We start from the raw sequence: 23,512 nt of genomic DNA on the forward strand, positions 1-23,512 counted from the left end.
ATGAATTTGAAAAAGAAAGCAAGTAAGGCTGAGTGCAGTGGCTTAATGCTGTAATCTTAGCTCTTTGGGAGGCCGAGGCAGGTGGATCACTTGAGGTCAGGAGTTCGAGACCAGCCTGGCCAACATGGTGAAAATCCAACTCTACTAAAAATACAAAAAATTGGGTGTGTTGGCATGCACCAGTAATCCCAATTACTTGGGAGGCTGAGGCAGGAGAATTGCTTGAACTCAGGAGGTGGAGGTTACAGTAAGCTGAGATTGTGCCACTGTACTGCGCCACTGCACTCCAGCCTGGGTGACAGAGCAAGACTCTGCACCCCCAACCCCCCAAAAAAAGCAAACAAGCAAGTGCAAGTAAGACTTTGTATCTCTGATTAGATGTTGAACAGTGAATGTCTCTTCCCAGACAATTTAGATAATTTACATACATTCTTTCTCTGGTTAGCCTTACAGATTAAAAAATGGTGGCTTTTTAAGTTTTAAGTTGAGTGACTTATCAAAAATACTTTAAGACTTGAAGACCACCAGTCTAGAAGTTAGAGATGAAATATTAGAATATGGCAGTAAACAGTCCAGCCTATGAACTAGAACTAGATTGACTGGGTTCAAATCTCAGCTTAGCCACCTACTAGTATGAGACTTGGGTTAAGTTAAAAAAGCCCTTGTATCTCAGTTCTCTTATTTTTAAAATGCTGATAACAATAATGTTTGTAAGATGTTGTGGGCATTAAATCAATAAATATATGTGAAGTGCTTGAAAAAAGGTATGGCATAGGCAAACACTCCATAGAGTGTCACCTATTATCATTTTTATGTGAGTGTGGGACCTGCTATCCAATGACATCAGTAGTCTCCCACTGTGACATAAAAGGATTGCATACAAAGAAATGCTTAATAAATAATTCATTCGTTCAAACAAGTATTTTTGAGAGCCTAAATTCTAGATTCTGGGGATAGAGCCAAGGAGGACAAGCTGAAGTTCTCAGTTTTAAGTGACTTTCATCTGAATGAAGTAAACTGACAATAAACAAGAGGAACAAATATACATAAACATATTAAGCATTACTACCTACTTTGAAGAAAAAGAAAGCAGGCTAAAGGGATAGAGACTAATAAGGAATAATAATGGGCAAGCTGTTATAGATGGGGAGATTTACACTCTTTTGAGGAGATGATATTTGAGCAGAGATATGAATGAAATGAGAGTGAATGCTGGGAAAATCAACAGGAAATGAATTCTAGAAAGTGGGAACAGCAGAATAAAGGCCAGGAGGCAGAACTGAATTCAGGGGTTCAAGAGTAAACAGAAGGCCCATCGTGGCGTGAAGTAAGATCTAGTATTCGAAGATGAGGTAGAAGTAGTCAAATAATTTTGGATGAATAATAGATACATTTAATGACTCAATCAAAATGATGAGACATCATGCTGAAAGGAAGCTTAAGATACATTTGTAAATAAGATTATAAGATGTTGAGTGGGACTTTTTTTGTTGCCCATAATTGAAAATAAGAAGAGCTAAGTAACCCCCTTTCTATGAGAAGCTCCTAATAGATGCCAAATATTGAGGCCAGACACTGTCCCCACCTACTAAAGGGTATGTTACGAGGCGAAAAAAATTCTCTCCTACCAGCAACTAGCACCTAGCTCTGGATACGCATAAAGAGAAAACTGGAGAGAGAACAGTGCAAGTCAGCAGACAGTGCTCACAGGGAAAGGTTACTCCTCTTCTCAAGGGGAACAGAAGGATTATTATTTTTTTCTTGCTGAAGCCAATTAATGGGAGTCCATCAGAGAATGTTTAGAGATTGTGTGCGAGTTTGTGGGAAGGAAGACTGGCAATTCATTTCTCAGCTGGCTGGATGGTAATTTACTAAACACACCAGTCCCTCTGGAGCTACTATGGCGGAGCGGGGGCGAATGTCTCCGCGGAGTTGTGTATTTGCTACCTGAAGTTTAGGACTCACCCCTGAATCCAAAACAGCTGCTAGTCTTAACATTTCTGAAGGAGAGGAAATTGCTGGAGTAGCTTATGGTAACAGAGTTAGAAGGAACTGTGGTTCAGAGTTTGTTCTTGAGAGGGGTTAAATTCCCTCCTTTATCCCCATCCTGGTCTTTTGTGGCCCTTGGAGCATTTAGAAGATGGTCTCAGAGGTTACTATGGCTCAATGCAAAACAGCATGGTGGTAAGGAAGGGAGCAGAATAGCTGGTAGTGAGGAGACACTCCAGCTGGGGAAGCAGTTAGGGGCATGGTCTGCTGTCAGGGTCCAGGCTTTTCTCTGAGGGATTCCTCAGTGAGTGAGGGGGCAAAGCAAAGACGAAGAGTGTCTATAGAAAACCAAGCACACCACCAGCACAGATTTCTCAACACCACCATCTGTTAGCAATAGACAAAACTGGATTGAACCAGAGAAAAACCTAGGACGCTTTCTCACGCAGACATGTAACTGATTATGTAAGATCTCTACCACCTTTGTCTTCTCTCTCTGACCCCAAAACTAGAGGAGTTCAGCAGCGGGGAGTGAGGATGGTTGTCTCAGAGTCAGATCTCCTTCCAACTTCTCTACTCCAAGCAGTCAGCCTCACAGTTTGTGTTGAGGGGAAAGAAAGGTAATCATATTTATGTTAGTTTCACAATCCAAGTTTTAAATTGGACAAAAATAAACTTCAAATAACTGAAACTGGTAGAAAGTTAGAAGATTTGCACTTTGGGAGGCCGAGGAGGGCTGATCACGAGGTCAGGAGATCAAGACCATACTGGCTAACACGGTGAAACCCCGTCTCTACTAAAAATACAAAAAATTAGCCGGGCGTGGTGGCGGGCGCCTGTAGTTCCAGCTACTCGGGAGGCTGAGGCAGGAGAATGGCGTGAACCCAGGAGGCGGAGCTTGCAGTGAGCAGAGATCAAGCCATTGCACTCCAGCCTGGGCGACAGAGCGAGACTCCATCTCAAAAAAAAAAAAAAGGACAGTTAGAAGATTTGCTAGGATATTCATTAAAGGACACGAGAATAAGACTTGACAATCATGATTGGAAGCCTTGATTAGAATAAAAAATATAACTCTTTTGTATCTATGCTCTTGTTGAGACACATTACATGAGTAACCAAACAATGAAACATAACACTATAAACCACAGCACATCTATGGAGAAATCAAAATGCACTAATCGAAAATTATAATTTCGTGGGACATTTTATTTAAATGTAAAATTTCATCTGGCTTCTCAGTTTTGATAAAGTAGAGAGTCTGTCAATTGCTTCTTTCTTATAATAAAGTGAGTCAATCTTCCTTCCATCAGCAACATATAATACAAATTCTTCAGGCCCTTGTCAGGAATATAAACTCATACTTTCTCCTATTCCGTTTCTAAAAAGGTCTTCTAAGGAAGTAATATTTAAGAAAGTTCATCTAAGAAACATTGTACCCTTTGTCTAAGTACTTTGAATTCTGCCTTTGAATCAAGCTAGACCACTGGAAGTATATGCACCTGACCACAAAAATATATCTCCTTTAAAAATCTGTCACCAACTTTAACTTCAAAATTTTATTCTCAGGCTTCTTTGAATTATCATAAGAAAGTTTATAAAATTCTCTTCTATTTGTTGGTAAAAATATTGCTGATATTATTCAACGCGTTGCTCAGTGTCATCTCCATATGAGAAATTTCTCCATCAACTTAGTGGCAGGAAAAATTCTCTCTTGATTTGTTTCTTTCTTTTAAATAATGAGAATTGTGAAACTCCCTAAGTTTCCCTTGTTATTCTTGCTATCGGCAAGTTCAAAGCCAAATTTGCAGCTCTGTCAGAGCAAGTCTCTTATACAATATGTACAATGTATTCCACTTCGGTTTTTTCTTGAATTTGAACCTTATTTTATCAGTATATTTTATATTTTAGGGGCGTTGTCTATTTGTAAAGAAATGGAGTATAGGTAAATAAATTTGGTTCATGTGCTAGGAAAAGTTGGTTCAGATGACTGAAAGTTGATCTCCTAACATGAAATTGATTAATCTTTGAGGTGTTTTTCAAAGACTACTTGCAAAAAAAAAGAAAAAAAAAAAAGAGACTTAAAATGGCCCCCAAAATGTTATCTTCATTCATTAGTTTAATATCATTAACCAGGCTAAACTGTATATTCCAATAAATTGAACAATAATAGGATTATTTTAACATTATTACTGTCAGTTAATTCTAAAAACCTTATCTTTGGTTTTTATTATATGTACCATTATATATTGAAAAGCTTAGCAGATCCTCACATCAATGTCCAGAAAAATTATCTCCAGCATTATGAAGACACTTATATCAGTTGTAGAACATCTTATAGAAGAATAGGGAAGAGAGGTAATATTTTGGGTAAGAATGTAGCACAAGCAAAAGGAGAGTCAGTGACAGAGTAGTGACAGCTTGTCTCTAAATGCTAATTAATTATATTGATCCTCTTTGTTTTCTCAGCTTAAACAAAATAAAGTGCATGGGTACCTTCAAAACAACACATGATAGAAGGGAATGGATTCACAAATGACAATAGCTGTGTTTACCTGGACACCTAGTTAATTCACTAGTTTAACAATATTGGCCAGTCTGTAATGTACATCCCAATAAACTGACCAATAAAAGGATTGCCTTAGCATTATGGAAATATAGCTAAAGTATAAGTTTAAGGGCTTCCATAAATTAATCAGATTATTATTATACATAGGCATTTATGTATTATCAGGTATAAAAGACATTTGTTCAAACTAGGAGATATTCAAATAATGATAAAAATCATCTATGACTAGCCACCTGGGAACTATACTTTTCTAGTTTAAAGCCATAAGATGCCTCATTGCTTTGACATTGCTAAGTATAAAAAGGACTGTAGAATAATTTGTTGGTGATAAAAATGTCTGTGGTCACATTGCTATTTTACTTATTATGCAATGTAAGATATCTACTGTGGATTTCTAACAGACTCAAGTCCACAAATATATTTCTCCTGACTGTTCCTGACATTGCACAGAATGGCACAGGGAACACAGACCAACACACAAAAAGAAGAGTAACTCTTTGAAAACATTTTCTTCACACTGTAGTTTAGGACAAAAGTATTGCAGAATAAAATTTATGGTTTTAGAAAAAACAGCAACAAAAATTTGAATGAAAGACAAACTTTTGCTTTTTCGAACTTTTGGAAGACAAAATTATGACTCTAATGTTTCATTCCTTCTTCTTTCCTTGCCATTCAAATTTCTACTAAAGTGTAAGATATATCATAAAATTTGATAATATACACTGCAATGCCCATTGAGCAGACTGAACAAAGGCCATTAATATAGCAAGGAAGACATATTTTTAATATCTTTAGTCTGACATTCACTTGTCCTTTATTTACATATGCGTAATCTCTTAATTTTCTACAAATTGTAGCTTATACTCACAGAGTTTTAAAAAAATTCATGATAGCCCTCTCATTTTCTGTATCTACAATTCTAGGTTATATATTACCCTAAGTATACAGGTCCATAGGCCTATATAAAGAATTTATTTGAATTTGAAATCTTGATTTTGTGAAAGAAACAAATGTCTTGAGATTTTGTTAAAATAAGTCTGGCAAGTCTTGGCCCAAAGTTACACTGAGAGGGAATCTGTTTTCCTTTGAAAACAAAAGTATTATCAATATTTTCATAAAATGTGAGTATAAAATAGAACATAGTATTATTAAACCATATTAACATTTCATTGGCAGAGATTTCACTTTGTTAAAGGCTGTATAAGAACAGCTTAATCTCATAACCCAGAAGTTTTTACTGTTATTATTGCCTCTTTATTTTTGGCTAAAGTGTAATTTTTAAATGAGTATACAGAAACCTAATACTATATATTGAATGACTTTAAGTAAATAAATATCCATGCTATTCATCAGGATAAGTGACCTAGTGACCAGAATAAAAAGGATATATGTTGGTAGCCCCTAGCACAGTATGCCTCAGCACAGAGGTTTCTTGGGTTACTGCTAGTGAATGATTCCAATTCTTGGCCGTCTGATCCCACACATTACATAAATTCCAACTCCTGCATCTGTTTAGGTGAGCTGTTGGCTAAATGGATATGTAATGAAATTAAACAATATTTTTAAGGTGCTTTTTAGGATGGGTTATACCCCCTCTTTTTCTCCTCCTTTCCTTGCAACCTGCCCTCTACTCATTCTTTTTATGCATATTTTTGAGAGCCTGAATATGCTAGGAAGAGGGTTTCAGTCTGTTAAGAATTCACAACCTTGTGGAGTTGAGATACAATTAATAAAATTTCTAGTATAATGAGGTAAGTATTATGATACCATGAAAGCACAGAGGAGAAACACCTACTCTGTTTTGTAAGGATTAGGGAAAGCAATTTAGAGATTATACCTAACACAAACACACAGATATTTGCATAGTATGTGAGCACACGTTTAAAAAAATGTAATTTTCACCCTAGAAATAAGACAGTAGTGATTCAGCGTGAGTTGATATGCCTGTCTCCACTATAATGAAAGAAATATAACGTCTTAAGTATGGGTTGACATTTGCAAACTAACTGATTTTTCTAGAAGAATGATGCCACATAATTTAAAAATATTAATGCTTTTCTAATCTCTAGTGTATTTTCAATGGCTAACATAGTTAAAACCAAAGTGAAATTTTTATTATGTACATAATCGAATGCAAATTGTGTCAGGCTAGTTTAAAAAATATGAATGTCAGTCCTGGCTTGGCAATTTAATAACTATTTGGTTTTTGACCAAGTCATTTAACTTAATTAAACCTCAGTTTCTTCTCTGTAAACAAGAGAAGGTCAAGCAAGATAGTTTTAAAATTTCTTTCCAAATTTATACGTCTGACTTTTCTAAAAAATCTGGTTTACACTAATACTTAAAAGAAATTATCTTAAAACAATAAATTATAAATTTATTTTTTGCTCTTGCTCCCTGTAAAATTTGTCCTTGTCCTGCTAGTCACATATAGTCCCCACTACACCAGCCAAGACTTGTCAGACTGGTTCTGTTGAGATCATCAGTGACTTATTTCCTCACTTCAATTCAGCCCACAAAGTCATTGATAGAGCTGGATTCACACACTTGGATGTAGACCTCGACCTTCACAGGACTCTTCATTGCTGGTTGGCAATGATGTATCGGTGAGTTAGTTCCCTTTTTCTTTCTAGAAGTCTTAAGGTAACTTTTAGTTTAAAACAGTATGAGCCACACCAAGGAATGTGTAGATCTACAGTTTATTATTTTTTTAAATATAGAAACATATTTTTGAGATTTTACATAAAATTATGTCAAGAAAAAGATTTCTATTCTTTCTGTATTAGTGTTTCCTGTCCTCTTTTGTTGTATCCCATGTGTTTTTCTGTTTACTTTTAGAAGGTTTCTACACAATGTAAAGGTACATGGTGTTTGACAGCTGTCTTTTAGTTAGTTTGGCCATATGTTTCAAGAAAGATATAACATATTTTTAGCTTGGGCTTTGTTTGTCTTATTGAGAAACACTTTTATTTTAGAAGGTGTACATGAAAAAAAGTCTGAAATAATGCAGAAAAAAATGTTTATTTCTGTAAGTAGTTAAAAATTTAAAAACTCTAGATGTTTTGAAAGAATCAGAAACAACTGAAGAAAATAATATGACTAAATTATTATAGCCTGATTTAAAAAATAAATCCACTGATATGCCTGGCCATAGTCAACTTCTCCAAAGATAAGTCATGATCATTTTGAGGTTTTCTTTCAAAGTTAGAAACTAATCAGTAACAAGGTTTTGGGGTACTAGTTTTGTCTTTGAAAATAATTTTATCTCCTGATTAAAATTTATTTTCTCTGATTCTCATATTGGCATATCATTTTTTATTAGTTTTTACTTTGAGAACAGTTTGAAAATGTTAAACTTTGAATGAAATCTGTGGTCTTCATTTAACATGGAAAAACAGGTTCTGTCATCAGTTGAAAGTTCTACATACTTGTTATTAGAAGTTTAATACTCTTCTGTACATATCCATGAAGCAACTAAAAGCTACGGATACTAAACATTTTGTTGGGCTTATCAAGGCTCCCTGCCTTTTGCAAGTATTTCTTTACAACCAATGATGGTTTTGTATCCTATTCTCTTTTTCTCATTGACTTTACTATAGAAAACAGTGCTTCAAGAAAGCTTCCAATAAACTTAACATACTAAATAGATTACAAGCCTTATCTATGGTATATGTCAGAGATTTGGAATTTGGTTATAAATGTGTAGAGGCGGTATAATGTGGGAATACTGGAGTGAATTTTTCTGAGTGTAGTCTCTAATTTGAAGCAAAAGATGTGACTATTTTTAAAAATCCTGCTGCAGAATAGATGCAAATAATCTCTCATGGAAAAAACCAAAAACCAAAACCAACCATCTAACAAACAAAAACGTCTTCCTGATCTGAAGATTGTATGAAAGATGAAGCACATCTATGTTTGAGTGGGTCTAGATGAGATAAAATGTTAAGAGCATGTACTAGAGCAAAAAAGGATTAAGTTTATTATTCACATTTGCTGTCGTAAATGTGCCAACAGGAGTGTTATCGAGGAAGAGGGATAATTGAAATCCTAGGATATAAGTAGACAATTTCTTCTTAAGGTCATTGGTTTTAACTCAGAAAGAATACAAGAAACAGGTGGGGAATTTTATTAAATAGCATGCTCCTTCCTTTTCAGTCAGATTTCGGATAGCCTTCTCCCTGACTCTACCTGAATAAGAATCAGTTTTTTTTTTTTTTTTTTAGAATTTAAGGGTAGGAAAAAATTTAAACTGGGTAAGCATTATTCTTCTTGTACTGCCATTTTCTCCAAACTCTTATTTTGGACTATTCTTTGAGCATGAAGAGATCAACACATGAATTTTATAAACACACAACAGAAAGTTAAAGAAAACTCTATCAGGCATAAGTTTATAGAGAACAGATTTGGGAAGAGAAGAATGTGTCCATTAAATATATTTATTGGTCATAGGGGTGTATACTAACTGTATTTATCAGCAACCACTGAGAAGAAGTGAAAATAAGCAGACTGAATTTATAGGCATCGACATCCACACATATTGAGATGGCTGAAGGTGAAATGAGTAATATTCAAATGACACAAAATGGACAACTTTAATTTTTACCTAATAGGGTAAGCACTGTCTCTAAAAGTGTGGTCCGTAGACCCCTGCATTACAGTGCTTATTAAAAATAGGAATCTCCAGCTCTCATCCCAGAAATTCTAATGAATCTCTGGTTGAGACATGGAAATCATATTTAAAACATTTACACAATGTAATTCTTATTTACCCTAAAGTTTGACAAGCACTAATGGTGTAAAGACATAGAAAAAGAAAAAGAAATGTGTAAGCCTGAAAGAAATTAAACCATAAATGAAATAGGCCAGTTGTTAAAAGTAGTTCTGTTTTATTTAAATTGGTGTAATTACATCTGAATGGGAGGTGCTCTTTCCCAGTCACCTTTCCCTTCAAGGGAGAAGAGTACTCATTTATGCAACATGGTGATGATTAAGAAAGAGAGGATAATTTCAGAAAGGAGGGGAAACTGAGGGGGGAGAACATAGACATTTTTTGCTTAGTTTGTGTCTGATAAGGAGGATGACTTTATATGGATCATAAAAATCTATTTGTTTACAGGAAAAACCTTGGTATAAAATTAATGTAGCAGTGTTACCCTGTGACATTAGTCAGTATGGATACTGAAGAGACACTCCTTTTAGGCTTAGGCCCAGAGTTGCTATATGGTTGTGTTATAAGTATTTAGCATGTGCTCACACTTCTCCTTCAACTAGAATCAGCCCTGATCCATATAACAACTTTTAGTGAGTTCTCATTGCATACTAAGTCCTGTGTGGAAGAAAACTCTCTGTTGAGCACCTACTATATATTGTGTATTTTATAAAATGCAATTTCATTAAATTTTGGTAATGTTTTGATAAGTGGTTATTGCTTTCATTCCTTTTAAAAGATGAAGCACCTGTGGCTCAGATTGTCTAGGCGGTTAGTAAGTGTCGAATCTAGAATCTAATTCTGATCTTTCTGATTTTAAAATATACTTTTTTCCCTGTAACATATTGTCTACCATGTGTAGGAAGCTATAAGTAGAATCTTTGAGAAGTTTACAGAGAAAATAGATGGCAACAGAGAAATAGAAAATAAACGCACACATATCCACACATGGAGAAAATGTTGGTGCATAGATTTAAAAAACCAGAAGATGTAAAGACTAATATGAAATCATGCACATTTATGCTGAGGAAAGAAGTGTGGAGGTGTAATTTTACTTTCATTTATAAGTTTTAAAAACATTTTAAAAAATGCATTGCCTGCCCTTATACAACCGACTTTGTATTTAAACTAAATAAACAGTGATCTATCTTTTCTGCACTGTTTCAAAGGTGATCAGAGTATAGCACTTTAACTACATCATCTCTGTTTTCTAAAAAGGATTACATTTGCTATATTGTGAAAATCATGTTTATCTTAGAGCAATATTTCATGGAACTAATTCACTGGTCTGCAGTAGCTGTCTGCTAAATGAATCTTTGTTGTTCTGTCATTGTTGTCTGCTTTCCTCCAAAAATATGTCATTGCTTCAACTTAAAGAGAAAATAAATAGAAACAATCCAGAGAAACATGAAAAATAGCAGTGTCGTGTGTTTCCGTATTAGCACTGAGATTTATAAGCATGCCTGATGGTTTTAGTGCTTGTGAAAGAGGTAGATTGAACAGTCGTGAAGCAGGTCTTCTGGAAGGGTAGGAGGTAAAATGGGTTCTCTGGCTTGTTTTATGGCTCTATCAGGGTTAGAGTTTAGAGAAACTGCACAGAGAAGTTCTTCAAGTGCGCTCCTTTGGATCTGCTCTCATTGAAGATAATAGCTAAGAACTGTGAAGAATACTTTCACATTTTCAGGTTTTAATAGGTTTAAAATGACTGGACTAGAGAGAAGGAAGGTTTTAAGAGGCTGAGAAAGAAAAATGGGCTGCAGAAACACTGAGTCATGCCAGAACCTGTAAGCCCAACCTTCTTCTCCCATGTACACACATGGCCTGTGTGGTAGGGCAATTTTTAGAATTGCAATTCTAAGATGATAGAACTAATCTTAGGGGGATCCAAAGTACTATACAGGCATATTTAAATTCTATTTTGCAACCTTTTATCTGAAAATGTCAGATGATATCTCTGTTTTGAAACTGCAAAAGCAGACACAGAGGGATTTAGCACTTTGTTTAAAGTTGAACTGTGAGTCAGTGCAGGACAAAATAATAATTGCTATCTTTAGTTTCACATGTACTATCTGCCAACTACTGTCTTAAAACATCATATGCATTTAAACTTTATATCAACCTATGGTTATATTATCATACTCATTTTACAGATGAGAAAAATGAGGCTCAGACAGGTAATTTTTTTTTGCCCAGGGGTAATAATAAAAGGCAGAACTGATGGTTAACCAGGGTCTATCTGACTTCAAAGCCTATGCTCTTAATCACAGTGCTATACCACCCTCACAATGTCTCCTTTGTCTGCCTAAGTGGTTCTTTTACTACTTTGATTTAACTGACTTACTGTCTTAAAAGGTGAAAAATTTACATTTTCAAGAAACATTGTTATGGATGATCTTTAAAGTAGACCTCTAAGGCCAGTGGATAGGAAGCATTGCTGTATGCATTCTCTAAAGGAAGGGAACAAAATGCTCAAAGATGAGATAATTTGCATGTGGCCACAGGAATGGGTGAGTCAGTCAAGACAGAGATGTAGTCTGTCCTCCCACTTCACCTGTATACTGATGTCAATACAGTCAAACAGAAGAGTTAAATTAACACCGGTGGCTACATGACCCAAGACATATTATTGTTATTTTTATTACTATTACCATTTAAGCTTGTATGAAAATATGTGGCCCATTTAAAATTAGTTACTTTACATTAAATTTTGTCAGGTCACAGTTAGTAAAATTTAGAGAGGGTACATATCGTAACAATAAAAATATTATTTGACGTAAATATGCTACATATGTAATTTCAACATATGTTTTCTCATTTGGTACTTTACAACACTGAGAATCAGATAATTTTAATATTACCATGACTTTACAGCTAGGGAAACCAAAAATTAGGAAGACTGAGACTTCCAAATCTCTGCTAAGTGACTGGTAGAGCTGGAATCTGAGCACACCTGTTCTCACATCAGCCCTGTGCTTTCTAGTCCTGGCTTCTGCCAGGTCATGATTCTGGGATCAGAAGTGCTTCTTTGGTGAAGCACAGATAACTTACCTTGGCTTTCAAAAAATTACTTTATCTTAGTGTTTCAACTTTCCTAATTCAGAAAATACCAAAGATAATAAATGAACACTTTAAAAATATTTCAAACCAATCTTTTAATTATATAGTACATTCAAGTCATTATTAGGCATTTGGGGATACATTATTTGATTCAACAATAAAGCTATATTTGGCCTTTTAAAAACAGGGTAATGAATTCTTGTACTAAACTGTAGGACAACTGGCAGCTGCCTGACTCAAATCTCTGAATTGGATGGGTCCGAAGATGAACGCTTTTTAAAGTTTTCTTTACTAGTTGAATCCCTTTTTGCACTGGAAGCTTAATGCAGACCCTTGATGTTTGGAGCAGAATTGCTGTGGGTGGAGTGGGATAGAGGCTAGAAGCTTCCTCTACCTTCCTGTCTTTTATTCCCTTAGGCATACGTGAGGCATCTGAGTGGATTTTTCAACCCACCTTAAAGCTAATTTTTCATTATGAAAGAGGAAATAATGACAATGGCCAACTTTTGTGGTGTATTTACTGTGTGCCTGGCATGGTGCCATCTCCCTTGTGTTACTTTATTTAATCTTCAGAAGAATCTTCTGAGTTAGGTCTTATCATTATCTCCATTTGTGGGTGGGGAAATGTAGATTTAGAGAAGGTGAGTAACTTTCCTAGAGCCACCTAACTAGTAACAGGCAGTTAGGACTAATCCCAAGCTGTTTGATGCCTAAGCCCAAGTCTTTATCCACTAAACAAGAAAATGGAAGTCATTTGCTTAAAGTCATAGAGCTTGTTACAAAGAGGCTCTTGACTAGAACCTTGGTCTTCTGATATATTAATATTATAATTATTAATTGTATCTCAAAATTATGCTGCTAGAGAAAATTAAGTTAAAATAGTTTACCATCTTTCACATATACAGAATTTGCAAGAGAATTAGTAAATACACGTCTTCATGTCCTCTTTTCCCAAAGATCATTATGTGAAAGTGGCAATTTCCCTTGATTGCAACAATCTGTTTTGCATATTATAATAGTATCGGATTTAGCTACGAGTGACAGGAAACCCAGAGTAACAGGGGATTACATAAAATGGAATTTTATTCCGTTTAATGTGAAACAATTCTGGAGATAGGCAGGTAAGAGCTAATAGGGAGGTTCACAAAATAATTAGGAATCTAGTCTCCTACTATTGTGCTGTCCTACCAGCTTGATTACGTGTCTTCCAAATCCTGGTCTACTGTGGCAATCCATGCTTCAACTAGCACATATGTATTCTAACTATGAAATGCACATTAGGATTCCAGCCAACAAAATAGAGACTCCATTGGAAAGAAAGTATTCATATGCTGACTCTTATGGACAAGGGGCACTATTTGATTTTTCTGGTGGCTGTGTGCCTAACCAAAGATCAAGGTTTCTGTTATTAGAAAAAAAAGAATAAATATTTGGGATAGGCGTCTAGGAGTTTCTAGTATAGCTGTATTAAGTTTGAATGGTAAGAGGTATAGCCCATTGTGATGAACATAGGCTGGTGGATATATAGTTTTGAAGTGTAGGCAAGTGAGCTGAGCTGCAGTTATAGATTTGGTAGTCATCAGTATATAGATATGAATTAAACGCATGGACATTGGTAACTAAAAGTATTTGTTCTTTTGGGTAAAATAATGCATTTCTTATAATTTTTATGGTATTAATTTGCACAGAAATCCTACTTTATTCTAATATGAACCTGAGCTTATTTCACTATGTTATTATTAAATGCCAATATATTAGAACGTAATTGTCAAGGTGAGTATATAATAAAAAATTTCATAAATTTTATGTACCATCCAAAAATTAAAACTGAATTCTTACATATATTTCAGGTCGATAACTGGGGCAGAAAATTCTTTAATCAGGAAAACTCACTTTTCATTTTGGAAGAATTATTTAAACATCGAGAGGGTCTATACATTTTTCAATTTCTCCTCATTGCTGAATTAATTCAGATAGAATTTTGTTACATGTAGAAATTTCTAGACTGTCTAAAGAATTCTTGGTGTATGGTTTAGAGTGCTTTCTAAGGAAACAGCAAGCCAGAGGACACAACAAGGTGTCAGCATGTGGCCCAACTGTCACATTCAGGCACATTTTAATCAGGGTCTAGAGATTTTAAAAAGTTGGTGTATAGTAGTTATACATATTTTGGGGGTATCTGTGATATTTTGATGCTTGTATGCAATGTGTAATGATCAAATCAAGGTAACTGGGATGTCTATGACCATCTTGTGTTGGAAATATTACAGTTCTCTTCTAGCTATTTTGAAATGCAAAACAAGATATTGTTAACTAAAATTTCCCTACTGTACTGAATGGTAGAACTTATTCCTTCTATCTATACATTTGTACCCCTTAACCAACTTCTCAATACAAGTAGTAAAGTATGATTTTCAAAGTCTGGCTTTCTCAGGTATGGTATTTAGATTGTTTCAAATAACTTGTAGTCTCTTAGTTTGACTGCAAATTATTTCAAATTATCTGACATTGTAGTCAACAGAAAAATGAGGCATTTGAAAAATTGCCTGAAGTCTGATTGTTTAACAAATGCTGAATTTTAATTAGGATATGTAACTTTTTGTGTTATGTGAGGCATGGAACATTAGCTTGGATGAAAATTGAAGACCATTTAGATCAATTTAAATTTCCGCTGATTTTTTAACATGTGAAGAAAAGGAGAGCTCTCAATATCATACAAGTTGGGGCTCAGGGGATGCTGGAACTCGTTTGATGTGGAGTATGCTCTCAGATTTCTCATCTGTTTGAACTAACACTAAGACATAGGTTACTGGTTTTACAGTTTAGATCTACTTCCATTCTATCATGCAAACTTTCTTGGAGTCATCTAGACAATGTCAAGAAGAAGATTTGGTAGGAAGACAGCTAAAATTTTAAAAAGTTTCTGAAAGTCTCAAGCTATATATTAGCAGCCACAAGAGTGTCTCTAGCTCAGGTTTCTCAATCATTTTTCTTCTGATACACTTGCAGTGATATCAGCACACTGCTTGTTAATTCTTATTTTTCTTCCACATTTTGAAGTGTGTAAAATTCCCTATGATTGGCTGCAATGGCATCGCTCGTTAACTTTGCTGTGGGATATTGTTGTGTATAAAGTTGCTCAGGTAATGCCAGTTTATTATCTTGAACTAAAAAGAGTTTGAGGAAAAGAAAGCAAATATATTAGTAGAATTCAAACTTCAGTAGCTTAGTTTAAGTCTATAAACCCATAACTAATTACTTAATAATATCTTTAATTTTTTTGCAACCCACCTATCTGTATGTAGTTGCAAATTTCTAGAGATCAGGCCAAGTGTCAACTTAAATATCAGTTTGTAGTCACCTGTGCTGTACCATATTTAGTTGGGAACTTAATAAAACCTTGATGATAATCACAGTGGAGGTCAGAGACATTCCTTACTGTTGAGTTGCCACTAATATTTATGTAGTACACCTATCTAACAAAGTCTATTGATATCATATGCAATCTTCACAACCTCCTTTTAAAGGTAAGGGAAAGATACTGTCACGTAAGTTTTATGGTTGGCTAAACAGAAATAGTTAAACTCTGGGTTTTGTAACTTCTCTATGAGAACTAGCCGTAATTATTATGGTAGGGAATGCAAACATTGTGATTCAGCCCAAGCGCCTGGCTGATGCTATCAGATACTTATAGATGTGTTTTATCTTCCAGTGGATAGGACAGAAATATGTTATTTGTAATTTTATGTGGAGTAATTTGCTTGTATTTCTTCTTTTTTTAAAAAAACAGCAATGAAAATATATAATCCATGCACGTATATATGATATTCTGTTTTATTTCTACTGTGGATATTTTTATAGTCCTGTTCTAGAAAGTGTGAGAAGGATTAATTATGTCACCAATGCTTGCTGGTTTGGGCTTTTCACAAAGTAAAACACATCTCAAATACTTTTGTTGATAGGATAAGCAGGCACAATCCTATGAGCTAAGCTACGGTCAAATACATATCATATGCCAAAACAAATATATAGACCAATGGAACAGAACAGAGGCCTCAGAAATAATGCCACACATCTGCAACCATCTGATCTTTGACAAACCTGACAAAAACAAGCAATGAGGAAAGGATTCCCTATTTAATCAATGGTGTTGAGAAAATTGGCTAGTCATATGCAGAAAACTGAAAGTGGACCTCTTCCTTACACCTTAAACAAAAATTAACTCAAGATGGATTAAACTTAAATGTAAGACCTAAAACCATAAAAACTCTAGAAGAAAACCTAGGCAATACCATTCAGGACATAGGCATGGGCAAAGACTTCATGACTAAAACACCAAAAGCAATGGCAACAGAAGCCAAAATTGACAAATGGGATCTAATTAAACTAAAGAGCCTCTGCACAACAAAAGAAACTATCATCAGAGTGAACAGGCAACCTAGAGAATGGGAGAAAATTTTTGCAATCTATTTATCTGACAAAGGGCTAATATGCAGAATCTACAAAGAACTTAAATTTACAAGAAGAAAACAACCCCATAAAAAAGTAGGCAAAGGATATGAACAGACACTTCTCAAAAGAAGACATTTATGCAGCCAACAAACATATGAAAAAAAGCTCATCATCACTGTTCATCAGAGAAATGCAAATCAAAACCACAATGAGTACCATCTCATGCCAGTTAGAATGGCGATCATTAAAAAGTCAGGAAACAACAGATGTTGGAGAGGATGTGGAGAAATAGGGACATTTTTACACTGTTGGTGGGAGTGTAAATTAGTTCAACCATTGTGGAAGACAGTGTGGTGATTCCTCAAGGATCTAGAACCAGAAATACTATTTGACCCAGACATCCCATTACTGGGTATATACCAAAAGGATTATAAATCATGCTACTATAAAGACACATGCACACGTATGTTTATTGCGGCACTGTTCACAATAGCAAAGACTTGGAACCAACCCAAATGCCCATCAATGATGTCTGTTATACGTATCTCATTTCTTCTTCAATGATAGACTGGATAAAGAAAACATGGCACATATACACCATGGAATACTATGCAGCCATAAAAGAGGATGAGTTCATGTTCTTTGCAGGGACACGGATGAAGCCGGAAACCATCATTCTCAGCAAACTAACACAGGAACAGAAAACCAAATACTGCATGTTTTCACTCATAAGTGGGAGTTAAACAATGAGAATACATGGACACAGGGAGCAGAACATCATACACTGGGGCCTATCAGTGGGTGGGGGGCTAGGGGAGGGATAGTATTAGGAGAAATACCTAATGTAGATGATGGGTTGATGGGTGCAGCAAACCACCATGGCACGTGTATACCTATGTAACACACCTGCACATTCTGCCCATGTACCCCAAAACTTAAAGTATAATTTTTCTTTTTTTAAAAGACCAACTATTGATTGGTGGTATTGCTGTGAAGAGGCTTCTTCTGGTAAATTTTTCTTTGAAACACTGAGCCTTGACTTGTCATTTTCCAGTGCTTGCCATTAGCTTTATTTGCACTAGTACATTTTCCCCTTGTCTTTTTGCTGTTGCTGCTGCTTTTCTTTTTTAGCACTATTCTAAAAATTACACATTAATAAGCAATAATAATAATGCAGCCTAAGCATATTGCTTGTTTTCTGGCAATTTGGGGCTAAAAAAACAAAGCATACTTTAACTGTTATATTCACTTGACTTGTCACTAATTATACATGTCTCCAGATTGAAAAGAAAATCATATAAAGAAAGAAATTTGATATTACTAAAGCTGTTAGAATTCAATCAGTCTATCTGAAGGTGATTTTACACGAATAGGTGCACATAAGTTTTGATAGATGAAAATATTGACTGGACAAGTGTTTATGTATGTTCAGGAGGAGGTTAATTATACAAACGTCTGTTGATATGTAAAATAAATTTATTCCTTCACTTTACTACTTTCTTTGAGCATACTTTTTTCACATCTAATTTGGAGGAATTCAGTATTGAATCACTTACTGAGAAAATAAAAAAGTAACTAAGAAATAGGATCAATTATATCTCAAAAAAGCTAAAAAATAGGGTGAATCAGTTTGAAAAACAATGCTATACAGACTGGGAAAAGAACAAATAATGTTTCAAGTGACAAACATCTTAGTAATGTGGTCATTACCACTATTACTAATAATTAAAATAATGATGATGATAATTATCATCCTCGTTATTTGTACAATGATTTTTCCACTTGGGAGCTCAAAGTACCAAACCGCCTTCTCATTTTTATCTCTACCTAGCTCATTAGGTTAGGAGGGGTCTGGACTTATTATCCTTGTTTTTCATATGGAGAAATTAAGACAGATAATTGAATCTCTGCGTACAAGACTATATAATAAATGAGTTGGTGGCAGGGCTCAGAAATATAATCTCTTAATTGTTTATTCAAAGTATTTTTGACTGGATTCTCTTTTTCCTTTGTCCCATATTATCCCTTTTGTCTACTTCTAGCCACTCAGGAGAGCATGTCACTAAAATAGTTGTGAGTAATGTGGAAAGGTGGGGGTCAGAAGAAGAATCACAGTGGTACCTTGGACACTGCAGTGATGTAAATTCCATGAAAATACATATATAATCTTCCTTAGTTTTTTTTTCATATTTTAAGAATGTCCTATGTCTCTCGCTCTCTTTTTTTTAATTCAAACGCCATAATGTTGTTCTTAAAAAATCCACCATAAAACAAACAAATCCATAAATTAAAATTAAAATTTCTCACTTATTTGTTATTCGGCTTCTTACTAATAAATATTGGTTGTGTCTTCTATATATTTTGTTATGCACACACATATATAGTTTCATTATTTATGAAAACCGAAACATGAAATGCATATTATTCTATAACTTTTTAAAATTGAAACTTATCATTAACCTTTTTAATGTTAATACATGAAACCTACTTCATCAATAGAATGGCTGCATTGCTTACATTTTTGTCTTGATTAAAACTTACTGTAGAACAAATAGAACGTGTCTAATATTTCACAATTCTATATAACAATCATATACTTTTGATAATTTCATGTTTTCTACAAGCACACATTCATTTTCTTCATCTGACATGTTTTGATATTAGTTGAGAAACCCTTCTCTCCCTGTATTCCCCCCAAAGTTTTGCTTACGTGTGTTATACCCATCTCCTTTCTTCTGTAACAGATTAATAGCAAGCATTCAGGGATGAAGGAAGAAGAGTCAGTTTTGGGGGTTTCTTAGGCTCAGTTGCACATAAAACATAATCTCATTGTGGAGAAGACTTTTTATATTGCAGTAATTGACATTCTAGGAACAGGTGTTTGGAATTCTACTCAAGGGAAAACTGGAGATGGGAAAGGTTGAGGAGAGTAAGATAAAAGCTTCCCTGGTTACGGCCCCGTGGAAAAATCACAGGAACAAGGCAGGAGAACAAGCAGAGCCCCTGGAGCCTTCCACTACATCTCAGTCCCTTTCCCAGGGACAGGATTATACAGCGATGATAACACCATTGACTTCTATGCCAATGCTCTTTATTTTGTGTCCAGCCAGAGCCAGGATCTAATGATGGTGTGACAGGGGCCAACATGATAATATTATCACTTCCTGATCCTATATCATCAGGAAACAGAGCGTTCTTGTTTTCTGTAAACAAAAGGCATTTATTGTGAAATGCTTTGCTGTTTACACGTTCATGATCTAATTTTAGGTCCCAAAGTGCTTTAGACGGAATGGTTATCCCGCCCCTTACTGATATATGGGGAAATTGAGCTCAGAGTTTAAATGATTTTTCCGTCGCTGATCTGTTAATGAAAGGGCTGCACTTAGAATTCTCCTTATTCTGATTCAACACCCAGTACTCCTCCAGGAGAATACCATGTTTTCCTCAAGTCCTCATGTAGCAGACAGTTAGCACTCTAGAAAAAAGAAAAAAGCATAGCACACACTGGCGTAAATACCTCAAGAAATCTAAAATAAGAGTATCATATTCAAACTCCTTAGTCATCTCTGACTTATTATTTCACATTTCTGGCTTTAGAGTTTGCTTACCAAATATTATAACCCAATGGGACAGCAACTTTACCAATCAAACAAAAATCATGTGGATCAATGTTTTTCAGTAACATGTATTTTTGAAGGCAGAACAAATAGAAGTTGAGGGAATCTCATGCAAAAAGAATTTCCTGTAGCTTTTTTTTTTTTTTTAAGACGGAGTCTCGCTCTACCGCCCAGGCTGGAGTGCAGTGGCCCGATCTTAGCTCACTCCAAGCTCCGCCTCCCAGGTTCACGCCATTCTCCTGCCTCAGCCTCCAGAGTAGCTGGGACTACAGGCGCCTGCCACCATGCCCGGCTAATTTTTTTGTATTTTTAGTAGAGACGGGGTTTCACCATGTTAGCCAGGATGGTCTTGATCTCCCGACCTCATGATCCGCCCGCCTCGGCCTCCCAAAGTGCTGGGATTATAGGCGTGAGCCACCGTGCCCGGCCTTCTGTAGCATCATTAAAGCTTAAAGGTAAATATTAGCTCAAAACCTCAGGTTCTTTAGGAAGGGGCCTCTGGTTGTTTCTTCTATGTATCCTCAAAGTTTGGTTTGGAAATAGATCAGAAAATTAGAAGAATAGAATTAGCAACTCCATGTGAAACCTGGTATGCTTCAAGCTGTAACACACTTCAAAGGCTATTTAAGATTCTAGAGTGCTAGAGAAAAGGCTTAAAATATTTTTGTAGCCCCTGCAGTGTCTAACTCTATATCAAGTACATGGCTGGCTCAACAAGTGATAGCTAACATTTAATATTGCACTTTTCTACATGTCAGGCATTGTTACAGGCACTTTATATGTAGTACTTCATTTAATCCTCACAATAATCATATGAAATAGGTACTATCATTATCATCTTCCTTTTATGGATGAGGAAACCCAAGCACAAAAGTCAAACTACTTGCCTAGCAACAGGAGTCAGAGTCAGGACTGGCCTCAGCAGCCTGGAACCAGGGTGTGCTCTAAACCCAGACAGTACACGACCCTCCAACTGAATGTCCTTTATTCCCCCAAAATATCTGTTTTGTCTAATGAGTGGATGTGTTGCATGCTCTGAAATAATCTATCTATTTATTTTCTTCCTTAGGCCAGATGTGGTGAGGGCTAGGAAAAGAGTTTGTTGGGAACCCTGGGTTATCGGCCTCGTCATCTTCATATCCCTGATTGTCCTGGCAGTGTGCATTGGACTCACTGTTCATTATGTGAGATATAGTAAGTATAAGCTGCCTTGGCATCATGTGATTTACCCCAAATATTTCCTCATACCTTGCTGTTTTGATTTGCCTCAGGCTTATTCATTTATCACTACGATTCATTTGCATAGCCTGTACAAAGGGATCTTTACCTGCTTTCTCTCTTATTTAGTCCTCATAAGTCAAGGAGGATTCTTTTTTCTATCTTTGATGTAGTGATGCTTTCTGCTGGGAACAGCATGCTTATTTGCATCTTCCTTAATAAGCAATAAGTGAGTATTAATCAAAGGAAAACTACAGGATAGCTAGAACCAATGTCTTGAGTTGTTTGAGGTCACAGGGCAAGCATCTTGATTTAAAATAATTCTGACCGGGTGCAGTGGCTCACGCCTGTAATCTCAGCACTTTGGGAGGCTGAGGCGGGTGGATCACTTGAGGTCAGGAGTTTGAGACCAGGCTGGCCAACATGGTGAAACCCCGTGTCTACTAAAAAAAAAAAAAAAAAAAATAGCCAGGTGTGATGGTGTACACCTGTAGTCCCAGTTCCTGGGGAGGCTGAGGCAGGAGAATCACTTGAACCCAGGAGGCGGAGGTTTCAGTGAGCCGAGATCACACCGCTGCACTCCAGTCTGGGCAAGAGAGAGAGACTCGGTCTCAAAAAGAAAAAAAAAAATCCAACTCGTTGAAGTCCTGACATCCCAATAAATCAATGACACAATCTGGAGTCATAAAGAAGTAGGCTCTATTCTGTACCAGTAAGTTACAAAAATAGTCATAGTGATGTATTGTTGAGTAAGTGCCTATTTCTGTTATTAAAATCTCATCTTAGGATATATTGTAGGTGATTAAAGAGGATAGGGTATGCCAAGAAAGCTAATTATAAAGATGTTCACCCTGCGGTTATCAGGTACCTCATTGCTAGATGAACTGTTAGTTGCTATGTTATTAGAAAGGTCTCCAGGGTACTTCAGAACTGTTATTCTGGGATGTAACAGCCCTTCTGAAGTTTCCTCCTACTCTGCCTAGGGTTTTAATTACTTGACTCAACCATGACCTGTTAGTTTAATATCTTCCTCTGTTACTAGATTATACTTGGATGTTCAAGGCACCGTAACCATAGAAGCTAATAACTTGATTCTAATTTAATTGGGACCTTGTTGAAGTTTCTTTCCAGTAACGAGAAAGAGTACTCTGTAACCTGGTTATCTTCCTCTACTATCCACGCAAGTATAATCTCAATTTACAAAGCAAGGTGGATCATTTCTGGATAGTTTAAAAAAATATTTAAAACAAAGATTTTTTTGGTAGAATTTGCATACAGGCAAGTCTTTAAATTTGGAGTATCTGCATATTAATAACAGATTTTTCTGTAGCACACTTTTTTTTTGCTTTTTGAGACGGAGTCTTGGTCTGTTCCCAGGCTGGAGTGCAGTGGCTCGATCTCGGCTCACTGCAACCCCTGCCTCCTGGGTTCAAGTGATTTTTGTGCCTCAGCCTCCTGAGTAGCTGAGATTACAGGCATGCGCCACCACACCCGGCTAATTTTTTCTATTTTTAGCAGAGACAGGGTTTCACCATGTTCGTCAGGCTGGTCTCGAACTTCTGACCTCAAAAGATCTGCCTTCCTTGGCCTCCCAAAGTGTTGGGATTACAGGCATAAGCCACTGTGCTGGGACTGAAGCATACTTTAAATAAAAATGAATTGCTGGAATAACTTTATAGTTCTACAGTTCTGCTGAGAATATTGAGTCCTACTTTGTTGTAAGCATCATTATTTGTCCCCATGGATGTCTAGGACTGTTTTACACACTTTTGTGTGTCTAGAATTTATCAGAATCTTGGCACATGTTATGTGCTTTATAAATATTTATTAAATACTGAATGATAATATCAAATGAATCATGCCTACAATATTTTCTTGGGCCATACTTCGGCTTGTCTGACTTCA

General features: G+C 35.9%; 1 protein-coding gene across 3 annotated transcripts in view, besides 2 other annotated features; it reads left to right on the top strand.

The window, feature by feature from the left end:
• The first annotated feature begins 7,100 nt into the window (after window positions 1-7,100).
• The window catches only part of TMPRSS11E (transmembrane serine protease 11E), a 50,142-nt gene continuing 33,730 nt past the window's right edge, over window positions 7,101-23,512 (top strand). The window contains exons 1-2 of one of the 3 annotated variants that reach the window (NM_014058.4): window positions 7,101-7,161; window positions 21,459-21,583. In NM_014058.4, coding sequence (NP_054777.2) covers window positions 7,151-7,161; window positions 21,459-21,583 — 136 coding nt within the window. In that variant the 5' untranslated portion in view covers window positions 7,101-7,150. Of the gene's footprint in view, window positions 7,162-20,765; window positions 20,845-21,458; window positions 21,584-23,512 lie in introns of those variants that run through there. The other 2 variants (XM_047450139.1, XM_011531896.3) reach the window with 2 other exon arrangements.
• Window positions 10,964-11,547: an enhancer, noted in NCBI's record as "OCT4-NANOG hESC enhancer chr4:69317044-69317627 (GRCh37/hg19 assembly coordinates)". NCBI's record gives its function as "activates a minimal SCP1, AML or CMV promoter by ChIP-STARR-seq in naive and primed H9 embryonic stem cells {active_cell/tissue: H9 hESC(naive and primed)}" and the evidence as "EXISTENCE:reporter gene assay evidence [ECO:0000049][PMID:30033119]".
• Window positions 11,548-12,130: an enhancer, noted in NCBI's record as "OCT4-NANOG hESC enhancer chr4:69317628-69318210 (GRCh37/hg19 assembly coordinates)". NCBI's record gives its function as "activates a minimal SCP1, AML or CMV promoter by ChIP-STARR-seq in naive and primed H9 embryonic stem cells {active_cell/tissue: H9 hESC(naive and primed)}" and the evidence as "EXISTENCE:reporter gene assay evidence [ECO:0000049][PMID:30033119]".

The sequence above is a fragment of the Homo sapiens genome, chromosome 4 (genome assembly GCF_000001405.40).
Source record: "Homo sapiens chromosome 4, GRCh38.p14 Primary Assembly".
NCBI classification, from domain to species: domain Eukaryota; kingdom Metazoa; phylum Chordata; class Mammalia; order Primates; family Hominidae; genus Homo; species Homo sapiens.